Here is a 26,899-nt window from a genome sequence, read left to right on the forward strand (position 1 = left end):
GCTGTACTGGCATGACACCAACATCTGCTTGGCGAGTTGAGGCCTCAGGAAGTTTTTACTCATGGAAGAAGGCGAAGGGTGAGCAGGTGTGACACATGGCAAAAGAAGAGTGAGAGAGAGGAGGAGGTTCTGGGCTCTTTTAAACAACCAGCTCTCATGTGAACTAATAGAGTAAGAACTTGCTCATTACTGTGAGGACAGCACCAAGCCATTCGTGAGGAATCTGCCCTATGACGGAAACATCCCCCGACTAGGCCCGCCTCCAACCTTGGGAATTACATTTCAACATGAAACTTGGAAGAGACACACATCCAAATCATATCAATTACTTCCATCATTGCTTCTCTCAGACTTTCCAGATATACTATTGTGTCATCTGTAAATAGTTTTTTTTCCTTCTTTTCCAGTGTTTATGCCTTTAACTATTTATCTAATTGCACTGACTAATATCTCCAGAACAAGATTAAATAGCAGTGTAACAATGTCTTTAATAGAGGTACTGATTGCTTCATTGTATTATCTTCACCATGGATATACAAATGTGTACATTTCAATGTAGATAATAGTTTGGCTATGTATATACCTTACAAGGGTTGCACACAGTCCTTCGCTGTGTCTTTAAGAGATGCTTATGGAGATTGGCTGGGCGTGGTGGCTAAGGCCTGTAATCCCAGTACTTTGGGAGGCTGAGGCTAGCAGGTAGCTTGAGCTCATGAGTTTGAGACCAGGTCGAGTAAGATGGTGAAACCCTGTCTCTACAAAAAGTACAAAAATTAGCTAAGTATGGTGGCATGTGCTTGTGGTCCCAGCTACTAGGGAGCTGAGGTGGGAGGATCACTTGAGCCCAGGAGGGGAGGCTTCAATGAGCTGAGATCATGCCACTGCACTCCAGGCTGGGTGACAGAGTGAGACCCCATCTCAATTTTTAAAAAATTAAATTTTAACAAAAGATACTTAAGGAGATGGATGTGGTAAGAAGCAGGAAAGGTCAACTTTCCTAGTGCATGGTAGGAAAATACGGTGTTTAGCATGGTAACTGCTCCATGGTTTCTCAGTTTATACAAGCAGCCCTGAGTTTTCTTGCTTCTCTACACAGTTTTCTGGATTTCATTTTGTTTTTTACCCAGCTAGTTATAGATGCCACAGGGTGACCTCCTTTTCCCTTCTAGGCTAAAGCTGTCATAGGTCTATGAAAATCTAGGGATTCCCTTCTAGGCTTCACAGTCTTAAGTGGTGTGTGTGCTTTGCAGATGAGCAAGGCTTGTTTTGTATTGATATGTTGCTGCCTTGACTTCTTGGATTTCTAGATCATATAGCAAGGTAAATGTTAGTCTGTTCTCGCACTGCTATAAAGACATACCCGAGAATGGGTAATTTATAAAGAAAAGAGGTTTAATTAACTCACAGTTCCACATGGCTGGGGAGGCCTCAGGAAACTTAAAATCATGGCAGAAGATGAAGCAGACGTGTCTTACATGTCAGCAGAAAAGAGAGAGAAGGGGAGAGAGAGAATGAGAATTCATGAGAGTGAGCAGGAGCGAGCATGTGCATGCAAGAGCAGGAAAAACTGCCTTATAAAACCATCAGATCTCGTGAGAACTCACTGTCACGAGAACAGCATGGAGGAAACTGCTTCCATGATCCAGTCACCTCCCACCTAGTCCCTCCCTCAACAAGTGGGGTTATGGCGATTATAATTCAAGATGAGATTTTGGTGGGGACACAGCCACACCCTATCAGCAGGTTTGTAATTAGATGAGTTTATCCACTGGGGGGTAATCCTAGAGTACATATCTGTGGGTGGTTCTTGACAAGTGTGTAAGGCCTGGGACATCTGGCTTTGAGGCAGTTCTTTCTCCAGGTTTTATTTATGCGAATCCACTCATCTGGCAGGAATGATTTGTTGGTGTGAAATCAGGTGTTGGCCCAGCATCCTGCACATGTTCCATCCACATGGCAGTGATGGTCATTGCACACCAGTGCTTGGTCTCCCAAGTTCTGGAGAGTGTTTTTATTTCACTGCCATCTAATTTATCCAGAAAGTTCAAGTAGCGTATTTTCTGTAGATTCTTATAATTTCAAGATTACCAGGTCCCTGTGTGAACTCTCAGACCACATCCTGTTGCCTTTCTCTGTCATTCTATTGTTTTCTCTCCCAGGAGGGCTGGGTGGTAGGGTATTTATTAATTTATTGCCCCATATACTAATGAGTTCCTTCCTAGAACTCCTTACAACTCTCAGTCCATGGCCTGTTGTCCATCTTTGCTGTCCCAGGAGTGCTGGTAGGTAGAGTATTTAATGATCTCTTCTTGTCCCTAGGTTGAGGAGCCCTCACTCACCTTGGTCCATTCCTTGGTCCATTCCAGCTGTCTGTTTTCACTTTTCCTGTGACCCATGTCACCTTTTTCTCTCTGGGTCTTGCTGCCTCACTGGTATGAAATTCAGACTTGGGTGGGGCAGACTTGGGGGTTTCCTGCCTTGAAGATCCTCAGATCTTGTCCTGTGGTACATGCAGCTACCCTGATGGCACACTTCAGCAGGAGGGTGATCTTTTCTGTTCTTTTTTGTTGTTGTCTTATTTCCTCTGCCTGCCCCCACCATTTTTAGTCTGAGGGAAATCTGTCTTCCATCATCTTTCTGCCTAAAATATTTAGTCCATCCCCAGAAGTCTTAGGTTTCTGGGACACCAGCCCTAGTCATTTAATGTTTGAATAATTGGTAACCTTCCCACTACCCTATTAATCTCCAAGGTCTTCCTATTTCTTATGTCTACATAATACAGCTAAGACAATTCTCGGTGCCTGCTACTTCATTCTTATTTGCTGCTTGTGATTTTCAGTAGCTTTCTTAGTCCCTAAGAATAAAATAAAACTTGATCATTTTGTTGCTATTTGTTGCCATTTGTTGCTATGCTTATTTATTTTTATGTTTTGTTTTGATCCAGTTCATAAAATCCATTTCTTTGTTTTGTTAAAGTTTCTACTTATCTGGTTACAACTGCTTGTCTTTTTTGCACATTCATTGGTCATTTATATTTCTTAGCCTGTGAATTGTCTTTATTTCCTTTGCTTATTATTTTTCTGTAGTGAGGACTTGAATCTTCTTTATAATAACAGATTTATTGGGATATAATTCACATACCATAAAATTTGCCCTTTTAAATGTGCAGTTTTGCCAGGTGTGGTGGCTCACGCCTGTAATTCCAGCACTTTGGGCAGCCAAGGCAGGCAGATTGCTTGAGTCCAGGAGTTCAACATGGCAAAACCCCATCTCTGCAAAAAATAGAAAAAAATTAGCCAAGCATCTCTACAAAAAATACAGAAAAATCAGCCGAGCATGGTGGCGCGTGCCTGTCTGTAGTCCTAGCTACTCGGGATGCTGAGGTGGGAGGATCGCTTGAGCCCAGGAGGTGGAGGTTGCAGTGAGCCGAGATCGTGCCACTACACTCCAGCCTGGGCAACAGAGCCAGACCTGTCTCGAAAAAGAAAAAGTACAATTTAGTGGTTTTTAATATAGTCAGAGTTGTGCAATTATCACCAATATCTAATTCCAGAACATTTTCATTACTTTCAAAAAGAAAGCCATACTCATTAGTCATCAGTCCTGATTTCTTCTGCCCCTCAGCCCCTGGCAACTACTAATCTATTTTCTCTCTCTACAGCAGTGGTCCCCAACCTTATTGGCACCAGGGACTGGTTTTGTGGAAGACAGTTTTTCCACGGACCAGGGGAAATGGGGAGGAGGATGGCGTTGGGATGAAACTGTTCCACTTCAAATCATCAGGCATTAGTTAGATTCTCATAAGGAGCATACAAACTAGATTGCTCAGGTGCACAGTTCACAATAAGGTTTGTACTCCTATGAGAATCTAATGCCACCACTGATCTGACAGGAGGTGGAGCTCAGGCAGTAATGCTTGCTCACCCTCCGCTCACCTCCTGCTGTGCGGCCCAGTTCCTAACAGGCCACAGACTGGTACCAGTTTGTGGCCCAGGGGTTGGGGAGCCTGCTCTACAGACTTGCCTATTCCAGATAATTTTTGGATTCCATAAATGGAGTCATACAATAGGTGGTCTTTTGTGTCTGGCTACTTTCACCTAACATAATGTTTTCAAGATCATCCATGTTGTAGCATGCGGCAATACTTCATTTGTTCTAATGGCTGAATAATGTTCCATTGTGTGGGTATGCCATAATTTATCCATTCATCAGTTGATGGACATGTGGGTGTTTCTACTTTGGGGCTTATATTGAATAATGTTGACATGAACATTGATGTATGTGTTTTTGCATAGATGTATGTTTTCATTTCTCTTGGGTGTATATACCTAGGAGTGGAAGTGCTGGGTCGTATAATAACTCCCATGTTTAACATTTTGAAGACCAGCCAAACTTCTAAAGCAGCTGCACCATTTTACATCCCCACTGGAAGCGTATGAGAGTTCCCAGTTTTTCCGCAACTTCACTAACAGTTGTTATTGTCTTATCTTTTTTATTATAGCCATTCTAGTGAATATAATTTCTGTCTTCCTTCATCTGCTGGGATACTTTGAGCTCACCTATGTTTATTAAGTTATCTATATTTTAGCATATCGTGTATGCCTTTTCTTCTTAGATCTCTAAGTTTGAGGTCCAGTCCCAAGAACACTTTCTTCGTTGTAAAAACTATAAACATGACTTTTTGTTTGAACTTCCAGGTGGACTTTCTTTTTGATTCATCAACAAAATTTCTGTTTTACGTTTGTGTGTTTGATGTTATACTAGTTTGTTCTCTCACTGCTATAAAGAACTACCTGAGACTGGGTAATTTATGAAGAGAAGAGGTTTAATTGACTCAGAGTTCTGCAAACTTAACAAGAATCATGACCGGGAGCCCTCAGGAGACTTACAATCATGGCGGAAAGCAAAGGGGAAGCAAGCACATTCTCATTATGGTGGAGCAGGAGAGAGACACGGGGGCAAGGAAGTGCTACACTTTTAAACCATCAGATCTCATGAGAACTCACTATCACTAGAACAGCATGGGGGAAACCACCCCCATGATCCAGTCACCTCCTACCAGGTCCATCCCCTGATGTGGGGATTACAAATTGACATGAGATTTTGGTGAGGGCACAGAGTCAAACCCTATCAGATGAGTTTCAAGCTATTAAAAACATTAAATTGTTAAAAGCACACTGTTAAAATTTGTGGTATAGCAAATAGAATGTTTAAGAGTAATGAAGGGGAATTATTCATAGTGAATACTGACATTGTCTAAGTGAATTTTTAGTGCAGTGTTGACTACATAATTGAGGAGTCCCAGTTATAGCCAAAGTAACCCAAAATGATGCTAGGTTTAATCCTATATTTCTGTCCCTATTAACAGGAAGGTACAAAGTGTGACTAATTTTTTTTAATGGAACCTGCACTTTTGTATACATTATCCTTGTTTGATCTTTATTATCAGCCAAGAGATATAGAGAGGACGGCTATTCTTCCACATTTATTAACCTTCATTCAACAATTCTTTTGAACACACCTGTAACTTAAAGATTTTAGCACCAATTCATTATGTTACTTTGACTTAAGTAATACTTCAAAAAGTATTCCTTAACAATAGCATTTTTTGTAAAGCTTTAAGTGGTTCAGTCTCTGAATAATTATTTTATACTTTTAGTTTCATTTGTTCCCTCTGTTAGTTTCAGTATGTTAACACAGGTAGACCAAAAAGATGACAGTATTTATACACCAACTATGTGCTTCTTTCTAAATGCACAGATAACTGTATTGGTGATTCCATTTACATTTGGTTAGGTTTCAAATGAGAGTGCTATTTCCTCCCAGCTTTTTGTTTTGAAACATTTCAAACCTATAGAAAAGAGTAACATAGTGTATTGAATGCCTACATACCCTACACCTATATTCACCAATCACCAATTATCATTTTGGCCACATTTGCTTTTTCTGAGTATAGATGCTTTTATTTATTGATTGATTTTTGAGCTATTTGAAAGTAAGTTGGAGAAACTTCACCTTTGTGTACTTCAGCTTGCATTTTCTGAGAATAAAGGCATTCTCCTGCATAATACTGTTGTAATACTATTGTAACACCTAAGAAAATTAGTAACAATTCCATAACATCCTCTAATATCTAACCCAGATTCAGGTTTCCCAGTTGTCTCCTAATGTCTCTCTCTTTTTTTAAAATTTTATTTTAAAAGACAGGGTCTTATTCTGTCACTTAGGCTGAATGCTCTGTCACCTAGGCTGGAGTGCAATGGTGTGATCACAGCTCACTCTAACCTCTAACTCCTGGCCTCAAGTGATCCTGCTGCTTAAGCCTCCTGAGTAGCTGGGATTACAGGAGTGTGCCAGTTGTTCATAGATTTAGAACAATATTTAGTGTCAAGTCAGTGATTTTTCTAAGGTTATAATAGGGATCTTCATAAATTTGCCCTTTCCGGATGGTAGAAATGAAATCATACAATATGTGGTTTTTGTGTCTGGCTTCTTTTACTTAGCATAGTGTCTTTCTGGTTCATTAATGTTAAGGCATGTGTCAGTAGTTCTTTTTTGTTGCTTAGTAGTATTCTATTCTATGGATATGGATATACCACATTTTGTTTATCATCATGTCTCCCTGCAGTCTTGACCTCCTGGGCTCAAGCATTCCTCCCACCTCAGCCTCCCAAGTAGCTGGGACCAGAAGGCACATGCCACCAGGCCTGGCTAATTTTTTAAATTTTTTTGTAGATATAGGGTTCTCCCCGTGTTGTCCAGGATGGTCTGAAACTCCTGGGCTCAAGCAGTCCTCCCCTTTGGCCTCCCAGAATGCTGGGATAATAGGCATGAGCCACTGTGCCCAGGCCATCTTGTTTATCTGTTTATCAGTTGGTGGACATTTGGAGTTTTTCCACTTTTTGGTTGTTGTGAATAATCCTGCTGTGAACATTCATGTACAAGTCTTTGTGTGGACATAGTTTTCATTTCTCATGTATATATACTTGGGAGAGTAATTATTGGGTTGTATGGTACATTTATGTTTAACCTCTTAAGAAATTGCCACACTGTTTTCCAGAGTGGCTGCACATTACTTTGCATCCTCACCAGCAGTGTTTGAGGGCTTCTCTTTCTCTGCATGTTTATGGACAGTTGTTACACAGTAAGTCCTCACTTAATGTCATAGGTAGGTTCTTGGAAAATGTGACTTTAAGTGAAATGGTGTATAACAAAAACAATTTTACCATAGGTTAATTGATACAAGAGTTAAGTTTCTGTAGCATATTTCTGGTCACAAAAACATCACAAACTTCTAAATCAAGACCCAAAACACTTCTAAACATTGAAAGAATTGTGAGCTTTACATACCTTTCAGAAAGATTGATACAAACAAGTAAGACTATTACTTAACCCAATTTTACTCACCCAATCAGTGAGTGACAGCAGTTGCATTGGTGGTTGGTCAAATCAAAGAAGAAATCTTTACAAAGTGAAAATTGTAAGGAGAACTTTCTGCCACCACAGTTAAAAAAGAAATGGCGGTGATGTGCGCACGTAGTCCCAGCTCCATGAGAGGCTGAAATAGGAGGATCTCTTGAGCCCAAGAGTTTGAGGCTGTAGTGCATTATGGTTAAGACTGCATAGCCATTGCACTCTTAACCATGGCAACATAGTGAGACCCTGTTCCTTTAAAAAGTAGAGGGAGAGAAATAATAACAAATATGGCAGGCTTTCTGAGCACTTTTATATCATATCCTGTGTTTTCATGCATTTGTCCTATGATCATAGACTTTACAGATTTTTATTTTCTGATAATTTGTATTCATCCATTCATTTTCCAACCTGCTTTTTCCAGTTCAGGCTCTTGGATGGTGAGAGCCTATTCCAGCAACTCAGGGAACCAGGCTGGAACCAGCCTTGAACAGGACACCGTCCTGTTGCAGGATGCCCTCATGCACACACGCACACTCACTCAGACATGGACAATTTAGACATGCCTGTGAACCTCTTATGCACATCTTTGCAATATGGGTTTTTTTTCCCTTATTTCATTAAAACCGAATCATGATGAACCAAACAACATTATTTGAGAACCTGCTGTAGTCTTTTTTGACGTTAGTGTTTTTTCTATATTATAACCATTCTAGTGTGTATGAAATGGTATCTGGTTTTTGTTTTGTTTTGTTTTGAGACAGGGCCTTGCTCTGTTGTTCAGGCTGGAGTGCAGTAGTGAGATCTTGGCACACTGCAGCTCAGCCTCACAGGTCAAGCAATCCTACCACCTCAGCCTCCCCAACAGCTGGGACTATAGGTGCATGGCATCACTCCTGGCTAATTTTTGTAGAAACGGGATTTTGCCGTGTTGCCCAGGCTTGTCTCAAACTCCTGAGCTCAAGGGATCCACCCGCCTTGGCCTCCCAAAGTGCTGGGATTACAGGCATGAGCCACTGTACCCAGCGTGAAATGGTATCTTACTGTGGTTTTCATTTGCATTTCCTTAATAACTGATGGTGTTCAGCATCTTTTCATGTGCTTCTTAGCCATTCACATATCTTCTTTGGTGAGATGTTTAGTCAAATCTTTTTCCTGTTTCTTTTTAAATTGGGTTATTTATTTTCTTGTTACTGAGTTGTAAGAGTTTGTTTATTACAGATACAAATCTTACATCAGATATATATGAATGGCAGATATTTTCTCTCAGAGAGTGCTATGTTTTTTTGTAATGATGTTGACCATGAGCCTTTCTTAATGTTTTCTAATTTCCCATGAGACTTTCTTGGAGGCTTGGAAGAAAAGCTAAATCTTCTGGTCTTAATTCTTCCATGTATCTATTAATAGTATTGAAGCAGAATCAATTAAAGAAAGAATAGTCACCTTCATCTTCATTCAACAGTTAAGCAGTGAGAAACTCTTCCCCTTTGGACCATGTGAAGCAAATAGTCATACTGTGGGTATTAGGACTCTTTCAGTTGTAAGAGCCAGAAATCCAGTTCAGCAAAACAGAATTTTGCCATTTTTTTCCTCTCTTCTTCTACTTCCTTCTCCATTTTACTGGCAGATTCTCTTCATGTGGTCAGGAATATAGTCACCTTTATCTCCAGATTCAGTTCTTCCCAGCTCAGCAGAGACAGTCTTCCTCACTAGCCCTATCAGAAGAGCCCAAGAAATGGAGTGCTTTGGCCAGCTTGAGTCTCATGCCTTGCTTTTGTGGGAAGTAGCACATCCTAATTTAGTCCTGTTGTGATGGGGTAAGGAGGGGAAGGGGTGCTGGAGGGGTGCTGGGCAGACAAATCATATGTCTACTTCTTTGTGGGTGTTATATCATTTTTGCCCATTTTTATGAGGTTAAACCAAAAGTAATGAATAGAAGGTTAATACCTGGACTATTTTTGAAAACTCATATTTATTTTCTGATTAATTTTAACATTAAATCAGACTTTACTAATAGCACCATTTTCATATTGAAACAAACATATATGATACTTGGTTTATGCTAAAACATTCCACATACATCTTCCCACCTCCCAAGGAAGGGAGGGGACCTGTATCAACAATGATAACAACTTGATAATTGTGGCTGACCTCCCCACTTCTCATGGACGTTCTTTTATGTAGTTTTCTTTAGCTCTCTGAGTGGGGTTATGACCATCTTGGAGTTCCTATATTCCTACAGATTACTGAAATCAATTTTTTGTTATTGGTTTGCTTCCCCTCTGTTCATATATTTGGATTCCCAAGCTCTGTCAGTGTCCATATGTTATATGATTCATATTTGAAGTGATTTTTGTTTTAAGTAAGGATAATTTTTTTTAAGTAAGGATAATTCCCAGTTCATTTTCATGATGTTGGGTATATGATGTGGATGGTGATGGTGATGGTGTTATTGATGTAGTTTTTGTGATTTTCTTGCTCAAAAAAGGAAATCATTTTTATCACTTGAAGTGCTTCTTATCTAAACCCTTAGTAGATAGATATAACTGGAATTTGTTCATGTAGTTGAACAGATATCTTTGGATACTGTGTGGAACTTACATTTCTTCCATATAGTACTTTTTGGGATTTATTTTAATATGAAAATTAATTGCAGAATTGAAAAATTCTGGCTTGAGATTATCTGCATAAAATGTATTATCTGTCAGAGTTGGAACAGCCCTTAAGGGGTCATCTTGTATATTTTTCTACCCAAGAGAGAGACTAAAGATCACCTCTACCCATCTTAGTTCCTCAGTTGGGACAACCGCTGTAACAAAAGGCAATTTAACAATAGAAAAACAAGCATGTGCAGCATACAACAAGTGGGAGAAACCTCAGTGAAAACGAACTCAGAGCACAGTGGCTTAGAGCTCTGGTTTATATAGCATCTTCAACAAAGAACAGTAAATGTGTGGGTAAATGACAGGACAAAGGAAAGGGTTTTAGGCTTCCAGGGGTGGGAAACGGTGGAAAGGTAAAGATATAGGGGGAAAGTAAAGGAGTAAGATTTGTTTGCAGATTCCTCTGGTGCTGTCTCTGGGCTGATGAGTCTAGAGTTGTCTCTAGTAACAGAATTTATATCCTATATCCTGCCTTTAGGTAGAAAAGAGAGAGGGTAGAGATAGATTTTCCTTGGTTTGCTATCTCTCAGTTGTCTTCATCTAAAAAGTAATGTTTGCATCAAAGAGGCATATTTTGGGGTTATATATTCTGATTTCCTTCACACTCTTTACAAAAATCCCCTCAAAACTATCCAGCTATTAGCCATTCGTAAACCCCTGTAGTGATATTGTGGAAATCTGCTTCATTTTTGGATGTTTATATTTAAAAATATGTCCTCTTTGAACTGAAGACTGTTGTGACTTCTCTTTATTCCTTGGTTTGCTGTTGGGAGCAGCATTTAGTAGACGTATTTTTGAGCACTTGTTAAATAGCGCATCTGTTGACAGAATTGAGAGTATTCATTTTACATATACCTTTAATCAAATAATGGAAGCTGGCTGTCGTAAAACTTTCCCACTGGTTTCCCAAGCAGTCTGCCTGTTCAGGCCACACATCATTCATTTCTTTAGTTAGTTTCTAACCATCCTGATGGCAAACTTCTGAAAATAACACTGTAACATTCACTTACTTGGAGCTCAAGTTTTACAGCTTAGGTATGAAACACATAAGGCAGGAGGAAGTTACTGGAATCTGTAGATTTCCTTCTGTTCCCATGCCCTGACCTAAGCAATTTTATATTCATTGTTTACATCTAATCATCCAGTAAAACCCTGTGAGGTAGAAGATAAGGAAACTTAAGACTATACCATTAAGAATTAGGAAGTAAAGTTCAAACAAAGAACACCTTTGAGCATCCATATAAATGCCAAAGTCCTAGCACTAAAGACTATTATGTATCTGATGCATAAGAGAATAATTAGGTTATCACCCAGAACCTACTTGTTGTTACTTTATACCTAGTAGTAAACTTGATAGTTTATTTCCAAACAATTTTTAGGGGTAAAAGGATGCTGCTGCAGGCAGGCACATAGGCAGTAGTGATCAGCGGGGGACAACTATGCAGGGGAAGAAAGAGGCAGAAAAACGGCCAGGCGCAGTGGCTCATACCTCTAACCCCAGCACTTTGAGAGGCTGAGGCAGGCGGATCACTTGAGGTCAGGAGTTCGAGACTAGCCTGGCCGACATGGCAAAATCCCCTCTCTACTAAAAATACAAAAATTAGCCAGGCGTGGTGGCTTACGCCTGTAATCCCAGCACTTTGGGAGGCAGATGCAGGCGGATCACTTGAGGTCAGGAGTTCGAGACCAGCCCGGCCTACATATCAAAACCCCGTCTCTACTAAAAATTCAAAAATTAGCCAGGTGTCGTGGCGCACGCCTGTAATCCCAGCCATCTCAGGAGGCTGAGGCAGGAGAACGGCTTGAACCTGGAAGGCAGAGGTTGCAGTGAGCCAAGATCCACGCCACCTGCACTCCAGCCTGGGTGACAAAGTTGAGACTTCATCTCAAAAGAAATAAAGAGAGAAAGAAAAGAAAAGAAAGAATATGCAGTGCTGATAGAAGAATTCAGAGTTCCACATTACAGGGCTATTGAATTCAAGGAATACTCCCCTGAATTCATAATAGCCTCTGAGAGCAGGTTAATACATATAATGACTCCAGGTCCTCAGAAATCTTTTAAAAAATTATTCAGTTAAATTGAGGAATTTGTGAGAGAGACAAAATTCTGGACTCAAAATCTTTACTGAATATAACTCAGAAATCAAAATACTATTCTACCTGAGTACTACTTCTGGTGGCTAAATTGATTGTTTCTTATTCATTATGGTCTTGCTGGGAAATTCCTATGTTTTTTTTTTTTTTAATTTGTATGTGTTAAGAGTTAAGTGTAATAAGATACTCAGTAGGTATTCACCCATTGGTGCTTATTTTGGGAGCTAATTCATACAGTTAGAATGTATCATTTCTTGCAACCTTGGTTGAATCATCAAGGTTTTCCCATCTTGACTGTGTTGAGGTTTATCCCAGCTTGACTTCCCTTCGTGTCTTAGCACATCCTGGTCCACTTTCCCTGCTATCAGTTGTTAAGTATTTAGAGAATGCTGTTATTATTAGCCTGAGTGAAACATAGTTTAATTTTTCATATAAATATGTATGTGAATACTTTTAAAATTATCTAGATAATAGTTGCTTTCTTGTAGAGACTTGGAAATAAAAGAATAAGATTGCATTACTACTGAAATACTTTGTTTCATCCTTCATCTCTTTTTCCTTCAACCCCAGCTGTTCATTTGGTTACTATTTTGCCATAAACAGAGTACTGCCCTTTATTCTTAGTGGATTTAAACTATCTAATTTCATTAGATCTTTAAATCTTTGATGCAAATATTGACAATTTGTTCTTCAACCAAAAAAGATTAGGTAAATATATAGTCCAGAATATTTATGCTGCTATTTCTTGATTGTTTAAAACCCAGAAGTAATGTTTGTCAGAGGATCACTACCATTGAGACTAAAAAGTAGTAAACTTTTCTATGCCTTTAGTGAAATTTTAGGTACTTCATTTTAAAAAGTTTTGTTGTGCAGTATACAATACATTTAATCACGTGACAGATTTGTGCAAATTTGTAGGAAACCCAAGTTCTGCTTATAAATTACTTTTTCCTCTTTCTTTACAGTGATGGATTAAGCCGGTTTGATGCAATCAGACTTTTTGATGACTTTCCTAGACGTTAAAAGTGTGAAGTGTCCTTTGGCTTAAAATATTGAGACTATAATTGTAACATCATCCAGGTTCAGAACTGAGTACTCATTTTTTTTTCCAATTTAATGTCAGTATAAAGTATTATCACTTACATTAAAATTCTTGGGACAAGGGTAAACAACAGCAGGGTTTTGTAGCTTACTTTTGTTATATTAGTCAATAAACCTATTTTGTAAATCCTGTGTGACAGTGTGGGAGGTGGGGGCAGAAGGGTTCAGAAAGAACATTTCGTTTTTAAGGCAGTAATATGAAAATATTTTGAGATGAATGTTGTTACTAATGTGTGTTTTCTTAATTCTTAAACTGGGACACATTGACAATTATGGCCTCATAAATGAAATGAGAGAGGGAATGATGATAGTAATTGAGGGTTTTTTCTTCAGAAATTATAGTTTGTTTTTCCTTTAATATTTGAAACTGATAAAAGTCCATTTATCGTCAGTAAAGTGTAAAGGAAGCATATAACCTTTTAGGGGAGACAGTGTGGTATAGTGACATGAGCACAAATCTTGTTTAATAAAATGTTTCTTGAATGAATAAACACCTACTATGTGCCAGGCACTGTACTAGGCAAATAATAGGCACTGGCACTTAATCTAGGCTTAAGGAACAAGGAAAGCTTTCCATAAGTGACCACAGGAGGACGAATAGGAATTTGATAACGGAGATGCATCAGGTTGAGTTTGACATTGAATGTTCAAAACTGGGAAATAAAATTCATGCCATGAATTTAGAGCAAGAGTATATTCCTAAGGGGTGAAGAGGGGAGGGAAAAGAGGCTGATTAGAGGTGTCAGGAGGTTGTAGGCAGATCATAAACACCTTATTTCAGGTCAGTGGGGAGTCATCAAAACAATTTAAGAAGCATTATAAGATTTGCCTTTAGACAGACTTGGACCATTCTCAACTTCAGAGCTCTCAAAATTATCTCTGGTGAAAGGCTATTTTAAAAATTTTTAATAAGTGGCCAACTGATAACTTTGGAAAATACAACCACAATGAATTACTAGAAGAATGAAATGTTTGAAAGATAAAACTATGCTGGCTCATGCATATAGTCCTAACTACTTGGCAGGCTGAGGTGGGAGGATCACTTGAGCCTGGGAGGTCAAGGCCGCAATGAGCCATGATCATGCCACTGCACTCCAGTCTGGATGACAGAGCAAGACCCTGTCCCTACAACCCCCCGCCAAAAATAAAAAATAAAAACAAGCCCACTTTTAAATTAGATTGAACAGACTGGGCACAGTGGCTCACACCTGTAATCTTAGCACTTTGGGAGTCTAAGGTGGGAGGATTGCTTGAGATCAGTCGGGGCAACACAGTGAGACCCCCATTTATACAAAAAATTTTTTTAAATGAGCCAGATGTGGCAGCACACATCTGTGGTCCCAGCTACTCAGGAGGCTGAGGCAGGAGGATCACTTCACTTGAGCCCAGAGGTCAAGGCTCTAGTGAGCCATGTTCTTGCTGTGCACTCCAGCCTGAGTAACAGAGCAAGACCCTGTCTCAAAAAAAGATTGAACATTGAATAGACATAAAATTGCTCTAGTTTCTCTATAAAAGTTTCTAAGTGTGTACTCTCAAATTTATTCTGTTCTAGTCATTAACTACTTCACTTTGAGTACCTCTGTTACAGAGGAGTAATGTTTTTTTGGTCCTGCATGCTCTCAGTACAGAACTCTAGAGCCTCCCATGTATATATTTACTTTTCAGCCTTACCCATGTACTGCTGTTCAGTTATATGGTTTCCATTATAAACCATAAAATAATAAGTTAGAAAAAGTAAGAAAATAATGAGAGGTTGGATAAGCTATTATAAAATGTAAAATTTTATTTTTAATAGTATATAAATGTTGTGTTGGCACTAAACCATTGTTTAGTGAGATCAGTATAACTGAGTATTCCTGTTAGCTTATGAACAGATTCTTATTTATTTATTTTGGGGACAGGGTCTCACTGTGTCACCCAGGCTGGAGTGCAGTGGCACAGTCATGGCTCTTTGCAGCCTCGACCTCCCGGGCTCGAGCAATCCTCCCACCTCAGCCTCCCAAGTAGCTAGGACTACAGGCATGTGCCAGCATGCCCAGCTGATTTTTGTATTTTTTGTAGACACAGAGTTTTGCCATGTTGCCCAGGCTGGTCTCGAACTCCTGCGCTCAAGTGGTACACCCCCCTTGATCTCCCAAAGTGCTAGGATTACAGGCGTGAGCCACCACGCCTGGCTGCAGATTGTTTCTAGTGGAAATCCACATAGCTTCTCCGCTCATGAGGCTTACTCTGTGATTGTTTCTGATCAAAAGGTTCTGTGTCTATCCTAGGTGTATTGTGTATCCTGTAACTAAAACTTGAGGTATTGTTGGAAACATTTGAAACAATGTAGGTCTGGAGTTTCATAGTCCTGCATTTGAATTCCAGCTTATTGTTGTGTGATCCCGGACATGTTTGCACTGGACTGAATGTTTATGTTCCCCCCAAATTTGTATGTTGAAATCCTAGACCGCAAGGTGATGGTATTAGGAGTTGGGGCCTTTAGGAGGTAATTAGGTCATGAGGGAAGAGACCTCATGAATGGAATTGGTGTCCTTATTGAAAAAGACCCCAAAGAGATCCCTTGCTCCTTCCACCATGTGAGGTTACAGTGAGAACACAGCCATCTAGGAGGAAATGGGTCCTCACCAGACACCGAATGTGCTGGCACCTTGATCTTGGACTTCCCAGACTCCAGAACTGTAAGAAATAAATTTTTGTTGTTTAAAGAAAGAATGAAAATTTCTTCCTGCTTTTCAGTGTTATTATTGAAAACAGAGATAACTTTTCAAGTATCTGTCATAAAGTCTTAGATCTATTTTAAGCCCTTAAGTAAGTGTCTGTTTCATTTTGTTTCAACAACTGCATCAGCTGGTATGCCACTTCTATATGGTATAACATTTTTCTCAGGAAGTCAGATTTATACTTCCCTATTAACACACCTTTATAGAGGCTGTCATCATGTAAGCTTCTAAAGTCATATACAAAATTTTGGAATTTTGTAGGTTTTACAGGGGCCCAGTGGCCTGGGTTCAGTCCTCTCATTTTACATATCTGAAAACCATGGTCTTCAGAGGTTTGTAGTGGCAGAAAACCGAAATCTTTAGAGCCTATTAGGTGGTAGAACCTAGGCCCATTGACTTATACTCTAGTCCTCTTTCTGCTATCATGTGTAATCCAGAGCTTTATGTTTAAAAACAGTGTGAAAATGAAAAAGGAGTTAATATATACAGTTTGTTTTGCCAGTAAGTTTTCCATCAACTTAATAGCTTTTTTTTTTTTGTCTCTTTTCACAGTTAACTCTTTCGTCCAGCAGATATTAAGGGCCTCATGTGTCAGGCACTATCTAAGGTAGTGGAGATACAACAGTAAATACAATGGGCAAAATTCTGCCCTCATGGATCTTATGTTCTGCAGAGAGGAGTCCTAAAGGATGTGAGGGAGTGAGCCATGTGCTAATCTTCCAGTAGAAGGAATGGCAAAGTAATTTAGGATCTCTTAGACCTCATAAGGCTTTTATTCCCAGTGATATGAGAAGTCTTAGGAATGGCTGTATTTTGAGAGTAGAGGTGACAGATTTGCCAGCCAATCAGTTGTGGGCTGTGAAAGAAGAGTTAAGAATGACTCCAAGGGGCCAGGTGCAATGGCTCACCCCTGTAATCCCAGCACTTTGGGAGGTCGAGGCAAGCGGATCACTTGAGCCCAAGAGTTTGAGACAGTAGAGGCAATAAGTCAAAATCCAGTATCTACAAAAAATACAAAAATTAGCTGGGCATGGTGGCATGCGCCTGTAATCCCAGCTACTCAGGAGGCTTGAGGTGGGAGGATCGCTTGAGCCCAGGAGATCAAGGCTGTGCTGAGCTGTGATCATGCCGTTGCACTCCAGCCTGTGCGACAGAGCGAGACCCTGTCTCAATAAAAATAAAAGAATGACTCCAGGAGTTTCAGTGTGAGCAACCTAAAGAATGAGGTTGCCATTTACTGATAGAGGGAAAGCTAAGAGAGAAGCAGGTTGGAGTAGGTTAAACCAGGCATGGAGTTTTGGACAGTTTGGAATTTGGACAGTTAAGTTGCCTATTAGACAACTAGTTTTATGTGTTAAGTAGGCAGTTACATGTGAATCTGATGTTCAGGGGAGAGATGAAATCCAGAGATATAAATTTGGATGTCATCCCCATATAGATGCTATACTGAGTATTATGGTTTGAATGTTTGTGTTGCCTCCAAAATTCATGTTGAAACTTAATCCTTAATTCAACAATATTAAGAGATGGTGCCAATAGGAGGTGATTAGTTCACGAGCGCAGAGTCCTCATGAATGAGATCAGCAACTTTATAAAAAGGCTAAAGGAACTAGCTAGGCCCTTTTTTGCTCTTCTGCTCCTTTTCCTAGTGAGGACACAGCATTCGTCCCCGCTGGAGGATGCAGCAACAGGGTGCCATCTTGGAGCAGATGATGGTCCTCACCAGACACCGAACCTGCTTCAATTTGGACTTCTAGGCCACAGAACTATGAGAAATAAATTTCTGTTCTTTATAAATTACCCAGGCTTACATGTTTTGTTACAGCAACTCAAACAGCCTAAGTGAACTCATGAAAGGAATGAATGTAGATAGAAAAAAGAGGCCCAAAAAGAGATGGATGGAAAAAGAGAAGCCATAATGACTTTGGAAAACCAGGTGATTGTGGTATCCTGGAAACCAAATAAAGAAAATGTTTTAAGAAAGAGGGAGTGATGATCTGGGTCAGCTGCTACTGATAAGTGAGGTATAACGAAGATTGAAAATTGACTGTTGGATTTAGCAGTGTGGAGGTGACCTTAACAAAAGCTTTATATGAGTAGGCTTGGGAGAGAATAAAAGGAACAGAATTGGAGACAGTGAGTTTGAGAAATGAAGTAGGGTTGAGAGTTTTTGTTTTATTTTTAAGATAGAAAAAAATACATTTGAATCCAGTAGAGAGGAACAAATTCATGGATGAAAGGGGGAGAATTTCTGGAGCAGTCTCTGTTGAGTTGGCTAGAGGGAATGAGATCGGCATGAGTGGAAGCATCGGGCTTACTAGGATCTTGATCAGTTTCATTTATAGCAGGGGTTGGCAAACCCCAGCTCTGGAGCCAAATTCAGCCTGCTGCCTGTTTTTAAAATAAAGTTTTGTTGGAACATAACCTTGTGCATTTATTTAGGTATTGTCTGTGACTGCTTTCAAACTATGGCAGCAGAGTTGAGTAGTGCTGCAGAGAAGCCTAAAATATTTACTAGAAAGAGTTTGCCAACCCTTAGATTTACAGTAACTGAAGAAAAGATAGGATGAAATATGAGTGGGAGAGGGGAAGAAATAGGTATCAAATCTAGGGAATTGAACATTTTGAAGAAGGTAGTAAGACCCCTTTTCTGGTTTTGGTCAAACCACATAGAAAATCAGAACTTTGAATTTAGACTTGCAGTCTCGGTGCTTTTTCCTAAGGCGGGTTCTTGGAAGGGGCCCTAGTCTCAAACTGTAAGCTAACTATATAGTTATCTATTGGGGCTGTGTTATAAATTACCAATATCTTAGCTGCTTAAAACAACAAACATTTATTACCACAGTTCCTGTGGGTCAGCAATGTGAAAGCAGCTTAGCTGGATGGTTCTGACTTAGAATCTCCCATGAGGCTGCAATCAAAGTGTCAGCCAGGGCTGCAGACTTCTGAGACTTGGCTGGGTCTAGAGAGTCGGCTTCGTATCTTATTCATGGCTATTGGCAGGAGGCTTCAGTTCCTTGCCACATCAGCCTCTCCTTTGGACTAGTCATAATGTGGCTTCCCCTGTAGAAAGTAATGAGACAGAGTGCCCAGGACAGAAGCCTCAGCCTTTTATATCCTAATCTTTGGAAGTGACATGCCTTTACTTCTGTATCGTAGACAGTCCCCGACTTAGGATTTTTCAGCTTTACAATGGTGTACCATCATTATGTTTTTCACTTTCAACCCAGTATTCAATAAATTATATGAGATAGTCAACAAACACTTTATTATAAAATAGGCTTTGTGTTAGTTGATTTTGCCCAACTGTAAGCTAATATAAGTCTTCTGAGCATGTTCAGGGTAGGCTAGGTGTATTAAATGCATTTTCGACTTATGATGTTTTCAACCTAACAATGGTTTTGTTGGGATGTAACTCTATTGTATGTTAAGGAACATCTGTATATTTGTCACACAGACCGACCCTGGTACAACATAGAAGCCCACATAAGGGCGTGAATACTAGGATGTGTGGGGATTGTTGGAAGCCATCTTGGAGGCTCCTCACCACACTGATCCACTTGAGTGTCTGCAAAACTCCGTGTCATGTGACCAGTGTTTCTACAATTGCTGAAGCAGCTATTTGTGACAGTTTGATTATATTGGAGCCTAACCACAAATATTTTAAATATTTTTCCTTTTTCACTAAGCTTTTTTTTTTTCCTGATTACAAAAGTAACATTTGTGGTAGAAAACTGGAATACAGTTAGGCAGAAAGCCCTGGAAGTTAAACATTTTTCATATTCCCTTGTTCAGATTACTCTTAGTGAAATTTTATTTTGCTATCTAATTTTTTCATGTTTGTAGTAATACATATCTGTTCAAAATAAAGTTAATATATAAATGCTGTTTGTAAGCAGCTTTTATTTTCTGAACGTTTTTCAGTGTTATTCAGTACTCAGTGTCATTTTTAAACGACTGTTTTATGGTTCATGGCTATCCATAATTTTTTACTATGATGAATAATGTTACAATAAATATTCTTATCGCTAATTTTCTATGGATAATCATGACACTGATAGCCATTGTCTCAGTCCATTTCCTGCTGCTAGAGCAAAGTACCACAGACTGGGTAATTAGTAAAGAATAGAAATTTCCTTCTCATATTCTGGAGGCTGGGAGGTTTAAGATCAAAGTATCAGCAGATTCAGTCTCTGGTTCCAAGATGGTCCCTTATTGCTGCATCCTCTAGGGAGGAGGAATGTGGTGTCCTCCTATGGCAGCAGAGCAAGAGAGGGTGAAAGGGCAAGGTGAAAAGTGATGAACCTGTCCTTTTATAAGGGCACCAATCCCACCCATGAGGGTGGCCTCTTATGGTTTACTCACTTCTTCAAGGTCCCACATCTTAATACTGTGGCAATGGCAGTTAAATTTCAACATGAGTTGGGACAAACATTCAAACTGTAATAGCCATTCCCCACCCCATATCAATTCTTACTAATAATTCACATACAAATTCACCAAAAGTAATAATTGTAGGTATAAGTTTTATGATATTTGCATTAGTTTTTAAACAGGACCATAGTAGGGCTTCTAGGGATGAAGGTCCGTTGGTTTTATTGGGTTCTCAAGGATGACTAGGATATTCAAATCCTCAGTTAATTTGCAAAAATTGTTCAGTTGCTGTAATCATAGGAGTAACATAAACCTGTTGGAGTGGATATAAGAATAAAGCAATTCTAATATTCCTCAGACTCCTAAACTTCATAATACCTGTATAAGGTAAGAAGCAAGAAAAGTTTTACAGAGGTTTGCTACTTTCTAGAGTGATTTTAGTAAATGCCTATCAGAGGATTTGAATTTCTTTGTAGTCAAATCTTGATGTAGTTGAATTAATTAATTTTATTATTATTATTATTATTTGAGATGGTCTGTTGCCCAGGCTGGAGTGCAGTGGTGTGATCTTGACTCACTGCCACGTCTGCCTCCCAGGTGCGAGCAATTCTCCCACCTCAGCTTCTCAAGTAGCTGGGATTACAGGCATGCACCACCATACATGGCTAATTTTTGTATTTTTAGTAGAGATGTGGTTTTGCCATGTTAGCCAGGCTTGTCTCAAACTATTATTATTGTTAGCCAGGCTGGTCTCAAACTATTATTATTATTATTATTATTTTTTGAGACGGAGTCTCACTCTGTTGCCCAGGCTGGAGTGCAGTGGTGCGATCTCGGCTCACTGCAACCTCCACCTCCCAGGTTAAAGCGATTCTCCTGCCTCAGCCTCCTGAGTAGCTGGGATTACAGGCATGCGCCACCATGCCTGGCTAATTTTTGTATTTTTAGTAGAGATGGGGTTTCACCATGTTGGTCAGGCTGGTCTCAAACTCCTGACCTTATCATCCGCCTGCATCAGCCTCCCAAAGTGCTGAGATTACAGGCATGAGCCACCACGCCCGGCCTATTATTATTGTTTTTTGAGATAGGGTCTTGCTCTGTCACCCAGGCTGAAGTACAGTGGCACAGTCATGTCTCACTGCAGCTTTGACTACCTGGCTTAAGCCATTCTCCTACCTCAGCCTTCTGAGAACTGAGACCACAGATGTGTTCCACCATGCCTGGCCAATTTTTAAAACATTTTTAGTAGAGATGAGACCTTGCTATGTTGCCCAGGCTGGTCTCAAACTCCTGAGCTCCTATAATCCTCCTACCTAGTTGTAATAATTTATTTAGAATAATTTATTTAGAATTTATTTATTTAGAATAATTATATGAAGTGTCACCTCAGCTCAGCAGAATTCTCCCTCACAATTCCATTTTATTTTTTAGGACCTTTTTGAACATTAGTCTTGTAGTAGCTTATAGCTTCTGAGACCAGCATTTAATTTGTTTGTAGTACATTGTACTTCCAGGTGATAAAACAGCATTAAGCAGAGTACCTATTCCTCCTGGGTGGATGTCTCAGAATTTTGCCAATACTGATGAACTGTTCTCCAAAATCATTTTCTAGAGTTTAGGGTTTTTTTCCATCTGAATATGTACTAGTTATTTTCATGTACTGTGCTAGATGCTGAGATTACAGAACTGAGAAAGATAGCTCTCAGCTCCCAATAATTAATTTGATGAGTAGCACTGATAGAAGTTATATCCAGAATACTAGGGAACAATGAAACAAGCCCATTGAAGGCTGGAGAGCAATTGGAAGGCAGAGGACACTGCACAGGGGGTTCTATTTGAACAACTTTCTTTACCTTTATGTACACAGTCACATCACCCTATCAGTAAAAATGTTTTAATTGAAAACATTTTTATTGAATTGTATGAATCAAGAACATAATTGCTTCTTTCACCATTGAATAATATGTTATCAAATATGCATTAAATTGGTCGTCTTAGAAATGGCTAAAATATGTATTTATAGAATAAGAAGGTATTTGAATTTAATCAGCTCAGTCTCCAATCCTCTTTCTTTATCTGTTTGAATTCTTTGATGGGGCTTACAGACAGTTTATTCCAGTTTTTACAGTAATAAGTAATTGGAAAGATCTTGCTAGTGAGCCAAATCTGCCTCTTTTTGTCTTCTCCTCAGTAATTTTAGTTTTAAATTGTAAAAATTATCTCCCAGTCTGTGACTTATCCTTTCATTTTCTTAACCTTCAAAGACTGGAAGTTTTTTATTTTGATGCAGTCCAACTTATCAATTTCATAGATTTTGCATTTGACATTGTATCTAGGAAATCATCGAATGCCTAACCCAAGGTCACATGCCTAACTCTATGCTTTCTTCTAGAACTTTTGTGGCTTTAGGTTTTACATTTAGAAACAATCCATTTTGAGTTAATTTTTTTGTATATGGTGTATATGTGAATCTAAATTTTTGTTTGTTTGTTTGTTTGTTTGTTTGAGAGAGGATCTTGCTCTGTCACCAAGGCTGGAGTGCAGTGGTGTGATCATGGCTCACTGCAGACTCGCTTTCCCAGGCCCAAGCAGTTCTCCCACCTCAACCTCCCAAGCAGCTGGGGCTATAGGCGTGTGCCACACTATACCCAGCTAATTTAGTTTTTGTAGAGACTGTATCTCACTATGTTGCCCAGGCTGGTCTTGAACTCCTGAGCTCAAGCAATCCTCCTGCTTTGGCCTCCCAAAATGCTGGGATTATAGTCATGAGCCACCACGCCCAGCCTCTAAATTCTTTTTTTGCAATTGTATTTTTGCATCTAATTGTTCTAGCATCATTGTTTAAAAAGTGATTCTTTCTTTACTGAATTGCCTTTTGCACCTTTGTCAGCAGATGCTGAAAACTACAAACCACTCAAATGTCCATCAACAGGTGAATGAATAAACAAATTGTAAGATATCCATACCATGGAATACTACTCAGCAATAAAAGGGAATGAGCTATAGATACAAGCAACAGGGATAAATGTCAAAATTATGCTTACTGAAAGAAGCCAGATAAAAGAGTACATGTTGCATAATTCCTTTTATGTGAAACTGAAGAAAGTACTAACTAATCTATATTTACAGAAAGCAGATCAGTGTATGGAGGGGAGATGGAGGGAAAGGAAAGGGAGGGATTACAGTTGAACAGGCTTAAATATGTGCAGTTTGTCGTATGTTGTACCTCAATAAAGCTGCTCCAAATATAATTCTAAAATTTATATAGAATAACATAGTGGCTAGATAAGCTTTTGATAACCAAGGTTTTTCTTTTCCCATTTCTTAATTTTTTTTCATACTGTAACTCCAGTTTATTGTTCTTCTTAAAAAGGTATGTAGATCTGAATATAGCATTTGGAAAATAATTGATTGTTGTAAACTCACTTCAAGTATATCTTCTGTTTCTTTGAGTTATGTCATGCCAGTCCCTACAGAGTCTGTTAACCTTACTTGGTATCATTGTTTCACTTTGCTTATTATAATTTAACCCAAACTTCCCCAAATTTTCCACAATTATATTATTAATAGAAATTACAGAATACATCAGGATCAAGGCATATAAGGATTAAGGGGAGAGGAGTAAAAAAAGAAATGCGCAGGGGCAGAATTAAGGAATTTAGATTTTCACCTATGAGCAATGTGGAGTCTCTGAAGAATTTTAAGTAAGCTGAGTTAAACTAATTTCACTTTTTATTGTGATCAGCTGAACTTACATAAAAAGGCAGGCAGTATTTATCTAAGGGGATTTGCATCAGTCCCTTTGGTGTTTTAGTGAGTATATAGTTTTTTTGTAGTGGCAGAGTCAAAACCCCTATTCAGATATCTTAAATTTATTCCCAAGCCTTGTACATTATAGTTGCATCCTGTCAAGTGAACTGTAACTAGCAATTCAAAATTCAGAGTTACTTGAATGTTCTTGTTTCTGAGTATTTCTTGGGTTTATGAGATTGACAACTCTATTTAGGCCAGAGTATTTAGTCTACTGGAATTAAGCAAATACAGGTCCCATCTATTCATGTTTGCTATTTCTCAATTTAAAATCCTATAGCATGTAAGAGCATTAGCATTTTATTTGTCTTTCTTTCAATCCTTTAGAGTTAAGACTCACTAATTTGGGATTAGTTATGACTCTATGAGGCTACTACTGATTTTTGATAGGAACAAGAACCCAGGAAAGGAAAAAAAGGTAATTTATGAGCTGCAGCCAATTATCTGGCAACCAGAATGCCTTGTTGTTAAGAGTCTATTGTAACAAGTTTCTTTGTCTTCATACAGCACCTGTTACTGTGCAACAAGACCGTGTTTTTGAACACCTGGCATAACATGAAACTGTTAGGTTATATTGTGGCTAATCCTGAAGGAAGTTAGTTGAACTCTGGCTCATTTATTTAAACTCAGTCCTCCAGCATGACAGATTGGTGAATGTGGAAGTGGGTACCAGTTACTAAGTAAAACAAACATGCTCAGCCCATCTCTTGATCTGGACCCTGGATTTTGGGATAAAGTGAAGGGATGAGGGTAAGGGATGTTCACTTCAGAAGTCATTGGGGAGTTTCCAGTGATGTCACATCTGACTACCCTGGCATGGATATATAGAATCTCTTGGATCATACCATCCTGGCTCTGTTCCAGTTTTGTTTGTTTGTTTGTTTTTGTGTTTTTTTGTTTTGTTTTGTTTTTGAGACGGAGTCTTGCTCGGTCACCCAGGCTGGAGTGCAGTGGTGTGATCTCGGCTCACTACAACCTCCACCTCCCGGGTTTAAGCGATTCTCCCGTTCAGTCTCCCGGGTAGCTGGGATTACAGGCACCTGCCATCATGCTCAGGTAGTTTTTGTATTTTTGTAGTGACGGGGTTTCACCACGTTGGCCAGGCTGGTCTTGAACTGCTGACCTCAGGTGATCTGCCCACCTCGGCCTCCCAAGGTGCTGGGATTACAGGTATGAGCCACCACGCCCAGCCCAGTTCATTTTAACTCCACCACAACTCTCTGGAACTTCATGCCAGTGATGTAACTCTTATCGAACCCTTATTTCCTCATATAAAAAATGAAGGGTTTGGATTATTTTAAGGCTTCCTTCTGTGATTCTTCAATTTCATTATGTTTACTTTTAAAAATTGTTCAATGAAACTTCTAGGTAAACATAAAAGCAACTTGTTAAAAATTGTAAAATGGAAAGAAATAGACTAGTATACTGAAGGATATTGTATTGGAGACGGTCCCAGGAAAGCCCTACTTTCTGTGGGGTCTGGACCTTCTAAACATTATCTTTTTGGTCATTAACCTGTCCTCTATATTAATTGAGGCCTGTAAGCCTTAAGTGATAATGAAATGCAGCCAGACATGGTGGCTGACACCTGTAATCCCAGCACTTTGAAAGGCTGGGGCAGGAGGATTGCTTGAGCCCCGGAGTTAAAGATCAGCCTGGGCAACACAGCAAGAGCCTGTCTCCACAAAAAAAGAAAAAAAATGTTAATGAAATGCTACAATTCTGCTTCCAACCACTAGTTTGAATGTAGGTGCATGTGTTTAGTATTTCAATTTTAAATATGATTGTCTTTTAATGATAGTTTTAAAAGACTGGAGGTTTACTTGTGCATGGGCCTGATGCCCAGCCTGTGTGATACTAGTTCATTCCTGATGAGCCATGACTGTACCCACTAAGCCCCTTAAAGAGAGGGTACTCTTCCTCCTACTTCTCTTTCTTTGAGTTAAGAGTATTAATAGCACATGCATTCTAGTCCGTATTCTTGATGTTAAGACATGTTGGAAATGACTGAGGAGCGTTGTCCCTTTCTTGAGCACACAGACAGTTGCTAAATGCAGGGCTTGTCTTAAATTAATGTTCTCTGGTGTCTTCTATTACCATCTCACTCCATCATTAACCCCAGTGGTCTTCATCCTAGACATAACAGTGGTTTGCACTGTGGCATCCATGACTTTGCTCCTTTTTCTCCTTCAGCTGCCTCTCCAACCCTCTCACCTCCCCCTACAAAGTCTGGGTATATTTTTGCCCATTTCTTGCCTAGTGTTATCAATACTTCGAACAACTAGTATAAAGAACTTAGTGAAGAGCACTGGTGCAAAGTAGTATGTTCAGTCTGTTGGATATTTTTATCCCCTAGCCACTTTCTATTAGATAAACCATATGAAACTGCTGTTTTTGTATGTATATATATATATAATGTTTGCAGTTTTATATGGTTTCACTTTATAAATATACACAGTGATGATTTTTAACCAGAGATATGAACTACAGTTACCTAGGCAGTTTTTTACAAAATATATATATACACACACACTGTCTGCATCCTTGACCAGTGAATTAGGATCTTCATGGATGGTTCCAGAGTAAATGCATTTTTTAAAAACCTGATTCTGAGTCATACTCCTGGTTAAAAACACCTGTAAGCGAATCTTCCCTCTAGGCTATTTTTAGTTTTTTTATTTTAATTTTTTTTAGGGATGGAGTCTTACCACGTTGCCCAGG

At 39.3% G+C, this 26,899-nt stretch overlaps 1 protein-coding gene across 3 annotated transcripts in view, besides 1 other annotated feature; it reads left to right on the forward strand.

Moving 5' to 3' along the window:
- Positions 1–26,899, forward strand: part of RALA (RAS like proto-oncogene A) — an 84,549-nt gene that overhangs the window by 8,324 nt on the left and 49,326 nt on the right. Inside the window, exon 2 of one of the 3 annotated variants that reach the window (XM_047420682.1) lies at positions 1–26,899. This exon is cut by the window's right edge and continues 6,496 nt beyond it. The exons of the other annotated variants lie outside the window; for them this stretch is intronic. The gene's annotated coding sequence lies outside the window, so the exon portion shown is untranslated. 3 annotated transcript variants of the gene reach the window in all.
- Positions 4,835–4,884: an enhancer, noted in NCBI's record as "active region_25879". NCBI's record gives its function as "activates an Ori minimal core promoter by ATAC-STARR-seq in GM12878 lymphoblastoid cells {active_cell/tissue: GM12878}" and the evidence as "EXISTENCE:reporter gene assay evidence [ECO:0000049][PMID:35858748]".

This window comes from Homo sapiens, chromosome 7, assembly GCF_000001405.40.
Source record: "Homo sapiens chromosome 7, GRCh38.p14 Primary Assembly".
Lineage (NCBI taxonomy): Eukaryota > Metazoa > Chordata > Mammalia > Primates > Hominidae > Homo > Homo sapiens.